This window comes from Homo sapiens, chromosome 13, assembly GCF_000001405.40.
Source record: "Homo sapiens chromosome 13, GRCh38.p14 Primary Assembly".
Classification (NCBI taxonomy): Eukaryota; Metazoa; Chordata; class Mammalia; order Primates; family Hominidae; genus Homo; species Homo sapiens.
In genome coordinates, this window is record NC_000013.11 from 48,601,045 (window position 1) to 48,612,747 (window position 11,703).

Below are 11,703 nucleotides of genomic sequence, written 5' to 3' on the forward strand. Positions count from 1 at the left end.
AGAGGAGGAAGGATGATGTGTGGTTTTGCTTTTTCTGTATTTTTCCACCAGCAGAAACCTTAATATTTTCCAGCAGCACAGGCGAGTCACTGTGCAGGGAATTCGCCACAGAGCACTGCCCCCTTTGCCAGCAACACTGAGCTCACGGAATGGCAGATAAACCTAGATAAGCTGAGCCAGTCTTTCAAGCCCAGGCAGCACTTCTCCAAGGAGCATCATGAGCTCAGCTGGAGGTCCCTGGGTAGAAATAACCTGGAATTTGTATGAGTGCTGAGCTCTGTGGGGCCTTTCTGCCCCTTTCTTCAGGATTTTTTTTTTTTTTTTTTTGAGACAGGGGGTTGCTCTGCCACCTAGGCTGGAGTGCAGTGGTACAATCATAGCTCACTGTAACCTTGAACTCCTGGGCTCAAGCAATCCTCCCACCTCAGCCTTCAGAGTATCTGCATATGTTGCCATGGCTGGTCTCAAACTCCTGTCCTCAAGTGATTCTCCCACCTCCGCCTCCTAAAGTGTTGGCATTAGAGGCATGAACCACTTTGTCTGGCCTGAAATTGCATTCTTAGCATCTAGACGGAGATGGAGAACAGCCTCTTCAAAAACAGCATTTTCTTTTCTCTCATTTACTGCTCCCCTTAAATTCCATTTTCTCAAAGGACATGTAGAGTGGGAAGGGTCCTTTTGCTTGAAGAGTAACCTCCCAGCAATCAGCCCCCTTCCTGTACTCTGGCCTCCTCCAAGCATTATAGCAAAATAAATGTTTTATTTGGTTTATTCATTTATTCATTAATAATTATTTATTAAGATCATACTAAGGGCCAGGTTCCAGATTTTGGGATTCTGTGGTGAACAAAAGATAACAAGCCCTGTCATCACGGAGCTTATTTTTTTGTGGGAGAAAGATCATAAACAAAAAAACATATAATATCTGGTTGCAATATGTGCTATGAAATGATATAAAGTGGGCAGGAGATTGAGGGAGTGATATTGTAGGAGGCCACCTGATTAGGTAATCAGGGAAGGCCCTAGGCCTCCTCTGGTGATGTGGGGGCTGGGTCTTTATGAATAAATTTTTCCAATTTTCAAACCTTAACTCTTTAAATGCCAAAAAGTTTATTCTTACTTATTTTGACCCGAATTACTTTAAATTCATTGTACATAGGAATCCAGAATAATCTAATCTTGTTTTAAAGATTCAGGATCATTATTGGGAACACCAATATATGCCAGGGGTTCTCAAAGTGTGGACTCTGGACCAGCAGCATCAGCAACCCCTCAACCTGGAGACTTGTTAGAAACGCAGATTCTCAGAAATGTAAGTGCAGACTTCACCCTGGACATGCTGCATCTGAAACCCTGGGGGTGGAGCCCAGCACTCTGTGATTTAACACGCCCTCCAGGTGCTTCTCATGCATGCTCAAGTTTGAGAAGGGCCACTCTGCTCTGAGGTGTGCCCTTGAGGGCGGTGGAGGCAGGTAGCCTCTCTGCCCATCCTCGGCAGACTGCTTTGCTCCCTGAGTTTCTGCCTACTTCCTGTGGGTTCTGCCTCACTGTGGGTTGTCAATGTTTATCCCTCACTGCTGACATTAGTATGTCTCTGTCTAATTTGTGTCTCCTTCTAATTTGCTGCTTCTAATCACCTCTGAGAAACCAGATCCCCAGCCATAAATTCATTATGTAGAAAGTAGGAATAAATTCCAGTGCTGCTGGCACCCATGTTAATACTTTGGTCTTTCGCCCTCAAGACATTCAGCATAATGGAAAGAACAGACTTGAATTTCAGTCTAGAATTCCACCAATGTGGGGATTCTGCAGGCTGCTGAGTAAGTCTATTCCAATTATGCATTCTAGAAATGGGGAAATAACCACAGGATGGGTTCAGGGACCCGCTGGGTCTACTATGAGGTGGACGTAGTCAAACTCCATTGTCGGGGATTTGCAGAGAAAAAGACTGAGAGAGAGAGAGACAGAGTGAGAGAGAGACAGAGAGAGAGAGAGAGACAGAGAGAGAGAGGAATGAGGAATTTATTATTAGGAATTGGCTCACACAATAATGGAGGCTGAGAAGTCCCACAGTCTGTCATCTATAAGCTGGAGACCCAGGAAAGCTGGTATTGTACTTCAGTCTACGTTTGAAGGCATGAGAATCAGAGGTACCGATGGTGTAAATCCCAGTTCAAGAGCAGAAGATGAGATGAGATGTCCCAGTGAGGCAGAAAAAAAAGGGGCAAATTCCTCCTTGCTCCACATTTTGCTTTATTCAGGCCCTCAATACATTGGAGAATGCCCACCTGCATTGGAGAGGGCCATCTATATTGAGTTCACCGATTCAAATGCTAATCTCATCCAGGAACAATCTCATAGACACACGCAGAAATAATGTTTATCTGGGCACCCTGCAGCCCAGTGGTTAGCATGTAAAATTAACCATCCCCTCACCTAACAGCCATAATCCCCTACTGTGACTGGCAGACCACAGTAATATTTTGGGTCTCCTGAAATTAGTATCAGTTCAAAGCCAGTGTCCAGTCATCCTTGAAACAATCTGATTATTTCTTTTTCCCCAGTGCACAGTTCCTCTGATAAAAGGCTGCAGGTCCCTTTGGGGATGACTGGGAGAAAGATAAACGGTATACATTTTTGGCAATGTAGCAGAGTCCTTCCTCAGGGGACCTGGTGTCCCCTTTTATTGCTTGTATGACCTTGGCAGAGTTGGAACCAGAATTGCCTGGCACCAACGAAGTGCTCAACAAGTGCTAGTTCTTTTCTTCTGGGGTGGGAGAATGATAGGGGAAGGAGACAATTAACCTACATGATTTTTTGCATGAATAATTGCTTTTTAGAAAAATCTCTAAATATTTACCTTTATTTATTAAAAAACAGTTTTAAATATATTTGAGATATAATCACATATCATACAATTCATTCATTTAAAGACTACAATTTAATGACCATCACCACAATCAATTTTAGAACATTTTTATTATCCTAAAAAGTAACTTCACATCCCTTAGGCATCATCCCCCCTCCATAATCCTCCTTTTCCCCCCTTGTCCTAGGCAACCACTAATCTATGTTTTTACTCTACAGATTTGACTATTCTGGACATTTCATATAAATGGAATTATCCAATATGTGATCCTTTGTGATAGACTTTTTCCACTTACCATAATGTCTTCAAGGTTCATTCATGTTATACAGCATCAGTATTTCATTTCTTTTCAAAAATTTTAATTTTTAATTTTTGTGGGTATATAATAGGTATATATATATTTATGGGTCACATATGATATTATGATACAAGCATGCAATGCATAATAATCACATCAGGGTGGATAGGTATCCATTACCTCAAGCATTTATCCTTTGTGTTACAAACAAAGCCAATTATACTCTTAGTTATTTTAAAATGTAAAATTAAATTATTTTTTACTATAGTCATCCTGTTATGCTAGCAAATACTAGGTCTTATTCATTCTTTCTATTTTTTGTACCCATTAACCTTCCCCACTTCTCCCCTACAGTCCCCAACCCCCCAACCCCAAGTACTCTTCCCAGCCTCTGGTAACCATTTTTCTACTCTATATTGCCATAAGTTCAATTGTTTTACTTTTTATCTCCCACAAAAAGTGAGAACGTGTGAAGTTTGTCTCGCTGTGCCTGGCTTATTTCACTTAACTTAATGAAATTCCAACCTCCAGTTCCAACCATGTTGTGCAGATGACAAGATCTCATTCTTTATTGTGGCTGAATAGTACTCCATTGTGTATATGTACCATATTTTCTTTATCTGTTCATCTGTTGATGGACACTTAGGTTGCTTCCAAATCTTAGCTATTGTAAACAATGCTGCAACAAACATAGAAGTGCAGATATCCAGGCTGGGCGTGGTGGCTAACACCTATAATCCCAGCACTTTGGGAGGCCAAGGTGGGCGGATCACTTGAGGTCAGGAGTTTGATACCAGCCTGACCAACATGGTGAAACCCCATCCCTATTAAAAATACAAAAATCAGCCGGGTGTGGTGGTGGGCACCTGTAGTCTCAGCTACTCAGGCTGAGGCAGGAGAATCACTTGAACCCAGGAGGCAGAGGTTATAGTGAGCCGAGACTGCGCCACTGTACTCCAGCCTGGGCAACAAGAGCAAAACTCCATCTCAAAAAAAAGAAAAAAGTGCAGATATCTCTTTGATATACTGATTTCCTTTCGGGTATATACCTAGGAGTGTGATTGCTGGATGGTGGGATAGCTCTATTTTTAGTTTTTCAAGAAATCTCCAAACTGTTCTTCATAGTGGTTGCACTAATTTACATTCCCAAGAGTGCACGAGGGTTCCCATTTCTCCACATCCTCTCCAGCATTTATTATTGCCTGACTTTTGAATAAAAGCCATTTTAACTGGAGTGAGACATCTCATTGTAGTTTTGATTTGCATTTCTTTGATGATCAATGATGTTGAGCACCTTTTCATATACCTGTTTGCAATATGTATATCTTTTTTTGAGAAATGTCTATTCAGATCTTTTGTCCATTTTAAAACAAATTAGTAGATTTTTCCTACAGAGTCGTTTGAGTTCCTAATACATTCTGGCTATTAATCCTTTGTCAGGTGGGTAGTTTGCAAATATTTCCTCCTATTCTTGTCTCTTCACTTTATTGATTGTTTTCTTTGCTGTGTGAAAGCTTTTTAATTTGATGTGATCTCATTTGTTCAGTTTTTTCTTTGGTTGTCATAGTTTGAGGTCTTAGATTTAAGTCTTTAATCCATTTTGATTTGATTTTTGTATATAGTGAGAGATAGGGGTCTAGTTTCATTCTTCTTCCTATGGATGTCTGTTTTTTCCAGTATCATTTATTGAAGAGACTGTCTTTTCCCCACTGTATGTTCTTGGCACCTTTGTCAAAAATGAGTTCACTGTAGATGTATGGATTTATTTCTGGGTTCTCTATTCTGTTCCTCTGGTCATTGCGTCTGTTTTTGTGCCAGTACCATACCATTTTGATTACTGTAGCTCTGTAGTATAATTTAAAGTCAGGTAATGTGATTCCTCCAGTTTCATACTTTTTGCTTAGGATAGCTTTGCCTATTCTAGGTCTTTTGTGGTTCCATATAAATTTTAGGATTGTTTTTACTATTTGTGTGAAGAATGTTATTGGTATTTTGATAGAAATTGTATGAAATCTATAGATTGCTTTGGGTAGTATGGACATTTTAGCAATATTAATTCTTCCAATCCTATGACATGGAATATTTTTCCATTTTTTGTGTGTCCTCTTCAATTTCTTGCATCAATGTTTTATAGTTTTCAATGTAGATATTTTTTACTTCTTTGTTTAAGTTAATTGCTAGGTGTTTTATTTTATTTGTGGCTATTGTAAATGGGATTACTTTCTTGGTTCTTTTTCAGATTGTTTGCTGTTGATATATAGAAATGCTACTGATTTTTATATATTCATTTTGTATCTTGCAAATTTACTGAATTTGCTTATCAGTTTTAGTGGTTTTTTGGTGGCGTCTTTAGGTTTTTCCAAATATAAGATCATGTCATCTTAAAACAAGGAAAATTTGACTTCTTCCTTTCTAATTTGGATGCCCTTTCTTTCTTTCGTTTTTGAGATAGAGTTTCGCTCTGTCACCCAGGCTGGAGTGCAGTGGTGAGGTATAGGCTCACTGGAAACTCTGCCTCCCGGGTACAAGCAATTCTCCTGCCTCAGCCTCCCAAGTAGCTGACATTATAGGCACCTGCCATCACACCTGGCTAATTTTTGTATTTTAAGTAGAGATGAGGTTTCACCATGTTGGCTGGGCTGGTCTCAAACTCCTGACCTCAAGTGATCTGCCTGACTCAACCTCCCAAAGTGCTGGGATTACAGGCATGAGCCACCATGCCTGGCTGGATGCCCTTTATTTTTTTCTCTTGTCTAGTTCCTCTAGCTGGGACTTCCAGTACCGTGTTGAATAACATTGGTGACAGTGGGCATTCTTGTCATGTTCCCAATCTTAGAGGAAAGGGTCTCAGTTTTTCCCCATTCAATATGATACTAGCTGTGGGTCTGTCAAATATAGCTTTTATTATTTTGAGGTATGTTCTTTCTATATCCAGTTTTTTGACGGTTTTTTTTTAATCATGTCAGGATGTTGAATTGTGTCAAATACTTTTTCAGCATCAATTGAAACAATCATATTGTTTTTGTCCTTCATTCTGTTGATATGATGTATCACATTAATTGATTTGCATATGTTGAACCATCCTTGCATCCCTGAGATAAAGCCCACTTGGTCATGATGAATGACCTTTTTTTTATTGTGTTGTTGAATTCGGTTTGCTAGTATTTTGTTGAAAGTTTTTGCCTCAATATTCATCAGTGATATTGGCCTATAGTTTTCTTTTTTAAAATTTGACTTCCTTGCGTTTTGGTATCAGAGTAATACTGGCATTGTAGAATGAGTTTGGAAATATTCCTCTCTCCTTTGTTTTTTAGAACAACTTGAGTAGGATTGGTATTTGTTCTTCTCTAAATGTTTGGTAGACTCCAGCAGCAACACCATTGGGTCCTGGGCTTTTCTTAACTAGAAGACTTTTTATTATGGCCTTGATCTAATTACTTACTATTAGTCTGTTCAGGTTTTGGATTTCTTCATGGTTCAATCTTGGTAGGTTGTGTGTCTCTAGGAATTTATCAATTTCTTCTAGATTTTCCAATTTATTAGCATATGGTTGCTCATAGTAGCCACTAATGATCATTTGAATTTCTGCAGTATCAGTTGTTATGTCTCCTTGTCCTCTCTGATTTTATTTTTTGGGGTCTTCTTTCATTTTTCTTTAGTTGGTCTGGCTAAAGATTTATCAGTCTTTTGTTTTTTAAAGTTTTTATTTGATTGATCTTTTGTATTGTTTATTTATTTTCAAATTCATTTATTTCTGCTCTGATCTTTATTATTTTTTTCTTCTACTAATTTTGGGTTTGGTTTGCTCTTGATTTTCTGGTTCTTTAAGATGCATCATTGGATTGTTTATTTGAAGTTTTTCCTTTTTTTTGATGTAAGCACTTATAGCTGTAAACTTCCCTCTTAGTCTTTCCTTTGCTGTATCCCCTAGGTTTTGGTATATTGTGTTTCCATATCATTTGTTTCAAGAAATTTTTCAATTTCCTTATTAGTTTATTCATTGACCCACTGGTCATTCAGGAACATACTGTTTATTTTCTATATGTTTGTATAGTTTCCAAAATTCCTCTTGTTACTTATTTCTACTGTTATTCCATTGTTATTAGAGAAGATGTTTGATATTGTTTCAATTTTTTTGAATGTTTTAAGACTTGTTTTGTGACCCAACATATGGTCTATCTTCGAGAATGATCCATGCACTGAGGAAAATAATATGTATTCTGCAGCCATTGGATAAATGTTCTGTAAGTATCTCTTAGGTCCATTTGGTCTGTACTGCAGATTAAGTCTCATATTTCTTTGTTGATTTTCTGTATGGACTATCTGTCTAATGCTGAAAGTGGGGGTGTGAAGTCTCCAGCTATTATTGTCTAGGTGTCTCTCTCTCTCTCTCTTTAGCTCTAGTAATATTTGCTTTATATGTCTGGGTGTTCCAGGATTGGGTGCATGTATATTTGCAATTGTTATATCCTCTTGCTGAATTAACTCCTTGTGATTGTATAGTTACCTTGTTTGTCTCTTTTTATAGTATTTGTCTGGAAATCTATTTTGTTTGATATAAAAGTATAGCTACTCCTGCTCTCTTTCGGTTTCCATTGGAATGGAATACCTTTTTTCATCCCTCTATTTTCAGTCTATGTGTATCTTCATAGGTGAAGTATGTTTCTTGTAGGCAACAGATCATTGTGTCTTTTTTTAAAATCATTCAGACATGCTATGTCTTTTTATTGGAGAGTTTAGTCCATTTAATTCAATGTCATTATTAATAAGTGAGAATGTATTCCTGCCATTTTGTTATTTGTTTTCTGGTTGTTTTGTGGTATTCTTCTTTTTCTTTCTTTCTCTCCTGTCTTTGTGGAAGTTAAGTTGATTTTCTCTGGTGGTATGATTTAATTTCTTGCTTTTTATTTTTTGTGTATCTGTTGTATGTTTTTTAATTTGAGGTGACTATGAGGATTCCAAATACTATCTTATAACCCATTATTTTAAGTTAATAACAACTTAACACTTTTTGCATAAACAAACAATTAAAAAGAAAGCTAAAAAAAATTCTATACCTTAATTTCATCCCCCTCCCCCAACTGTTTAATTTTTTGTTTTTTTTCTACTTATATCTTATTTTACTGTCTATGTCTTGAAAAGTTGTTGAAGTTATTGTTTTTGATTGTTTCATCATTTAGTCTTTCTACTTAAGAGGAGTTTATATACTACAGTTATAGTGTTATAATATTGTTTTTCTGTTTACTTACTATTAGTAGTGAGTTTTGTACCTTCAGATGATTTCTTATTGCTCACTAATGTCTTTTTCTTTCCAATTGAAGTACTCCCTTTGGCATTTCTTGTAGGACAGCTCTGGTGTTGATAATAAAATCCCTCAGCTTTTGTTTGTCTGGGAAAGTCTTTATTTCTTCTTCATGGCTGAAGGATAATTTCACTGGATATACTATTCCAGGGTAAAAGTTATTTTCCTTCAGCACTTTAAATATGTCATGCCTCTCTCCTGGCCTGTAAAATTTCCACTGTAAAGTCTGCTGCCCAACATGTTGGAGCTCCATTGTATGTAATTTCTTTCTTTTCTCTTGCTGCTTTTAGGATCCTTTGTTTATCCCTGATCTTTGGGAATTTGATTAAATGCTTTAAGGTAGACTTCTTTGGGTTAAATCTGCTTGGTGTTCTATAACCTTCTTGTACTTGGCTACTGATATCTTTCTATCATCAGTAGAGGTTTGGGAAGTTCTCTGTTATTATCCTTTTGAATAAACTTTCTACTCCTCTCTGTTTCTCTTCTTCCTCTTTAAGGCCAATAACTCAGACTTTCTTTTTTGCCACTATTTTCTAGATCCTGTAGCCATGCTTCATTGTTTTTTGTTCTTTTTTTTTGTCTCCTCTGTCTTCAAGTTAACTAATTTTTTCTTCCACTTGATCAATTCTGCTATTAAAATACTGATGCATTCTTCAGTATGCCAACTGCATTTTTCCAGCTCCAGAATTTCTGCTTGATTCTTTGTAATTATTTCCATTTTTTTGTTAAATTTATCTAATAGAATTCTGAATTCTTTCTCTGCATTATCTTGAACTTCTTTGAGTTCCCTCAAAACAACTATTTTGAATTCTCTGTCTGAAAGGTCACATATCTCTCTTTCTCCAGGATTGGTCCCTGGTGCCTTATTTAATTTATTTGGTAAAGTTATGTTTTCCTGGATGGTCTTGATGCTTGTTGATAGTCTGTGTCTAGGTATTGAAGAGTTAGGTATTTATTGTAGTCTTCATGTCTGGGCTTATTTGTACCCATCCTGCTTGGGAAGGCTTTCTAGGTATTTGAAAGGACTTCGGTGTTGTGCTTTAAGCTGTATCTGCATTAGGGGGCAACCCAAACCCAGCAGCGCTGTGGTTCTTGCAGATTCATACAGGTACTGCCTTGTTGGTCTTGGATAAGATCTGGGAGAATTATCTTGATTACCAGGCATAGACTCTTGTTCTCTTCCCTTACTTTCTCCCAGACAAACAGAATCTTTCTCTATCTCTGTTCTGAGCTATCTGGAACTAGTAGTGGGGTATCACTGGGGGTGGTGGCCACTGGAACTGTGCTGGGTCAGACCTGAAGCCAGCACAGCACTGGATCTCATCCAAGGCCCACTGTAATTACAACCTGGCTACATCTATGTTCACTCAAGGCCCAGGGACTCTACGATCAGCAGGTGGCAAGGCCAGCAAGGTATGTGTTCTTCCCTTCAGGGTAGTGAGTTCCCCTAGGCCCTGGATGGGTTCACAGGTGCCATCCAGGAACCAGGGACTAGAGTCAAAAACCTTAGAAGTTTACCTGGTGTTCTATTGTACTGCAGCTAAGTGGGCACTTAAACCATGAGATGTAATCCCTCCCACTCTTCCTTTCCTCTTCCAGAGGCAGAGAAGCCTCACCTTGTGGCCACCAACTCCACAGGCAAACTATGAGTACTTCCAAGCTACTGCTAATAATCCCTTAATGCCCAAGGGCTCTTCAGTCAGTTTGTGATGAATGTTCCCTGGCCTGGGATTCACCTTTCAGGGCAGTGAGCTTCCCTCTGGCTCAAGGTAGGCCCAGAAATGCCATCTAAGAACCAAGGCCTGGAATCGGGAACCCTAAGAGCCCACTTGGTGCTCTACTCTTCTGTGGCCTAGCTGATACTTAAGGTGCAAAACAAAGTCCCCTTTACTTTTCCCTCCATGTTTCTCAAGCAGAAGGAGTCTCTCCTCTTAGCCACTACAGCTGGGAATGTGCTGAGTCTCATCCAAAGCCAGCAAGTCACAGAGTTTCACCCAAGGCCCATGGTGTACTACCTAGGTATTGCTGCTTGTTATTGAGGGCCCAAAGGCTCTTTGGTAAGCAGCTGATGGGTCCGACTAGGACTGGGTCCTTCCCTTCAAAACAGCGGTTCTTTTCTGGCCCAGGGTGTGTCTAGAAATGTTGTCCAGGAGCTAGGGCCTGGAAAGGGGGCTTCATAACTCTGACTGGTGCCCTATCCTGATGTAGTTGAGCTGGTATCTGAGATGCAAGATAAAGTCTTCTTTACTCTTCCTTCATCTCCTCAAGCAGAAGGCAGGAGTCTCTTTTGGAGCCACGAGCTGTGCAGCCTGGGGTTAAGGGAGGTATGGCACAAATATTCCCTTAGCTGCCTCAGCCTGCTGAGACACCAGCTGGGGCAGCTACTTAGGGCCCTAGAGCAGTTTAGTCCATGGTGGTGAGGCTTGATGGAACTGAAGTTCTTACTGCCAGGATGGGCAATTCTCCTCTAGCTAGGGCTGGTTTAAATACTCCCTCCATGGGTAGGTGTCAGCTGAGTTCAGTCTGGTTTTGCTTTCCATTAAAATGTGGCAACACCAAGTTCAATGCAATGTGCCACAGTTGTGGTGCTCACCCTCTCCCAAGCACTCAGATTCCTTCTCGGCACCACATAGCCACTACTGTGGGATAGGGGAAGGGGTGGCACTGGCAATTCAGGACTCTTTCCTACCCTCTTCAATGCCTCTTTCAATGGTAGATGTTAAAACCAGGTACTGTACTCACTTGATTTTTTATTCTTATGAAGGCCCTTTTTTGTGTAGATAGTTGTTAAATTGGTGTCCTTGCAGTGGGGGACTGTTGGTAGAGCCTTCGATTTGGCTATCTTGCTCTACCCCCTCCTCCACTTCATTTATTTTTATTGCCACATAATATTCCATTGTATGGATATACCACATTTTATTTATTCATTCATCAGTTCATGGACATTTGGGTTGTTTCCACTGCAGAAGCCAAAAGAAATCTCCCTTTTGCTCACTGAAAGTTTGCTGAAAATGACGGAGGAAAGAAAAAAAAAAGCAGATCAGGGTGTAGCTGCACCATTTTATATTTCCATCAGGGGTATGTGATGGTTTTAATTTCTCCATAGACCTGCCAGCACTTACTATTTGACTTTCTGATTCTAGCCATCCTGGTGGTTGTGAAGTATTTCATTATGGCTTTGATTTGCATTTCCCTTATGGCTAGTAATGTTGAGCATGTTTTTATGTGTTTATT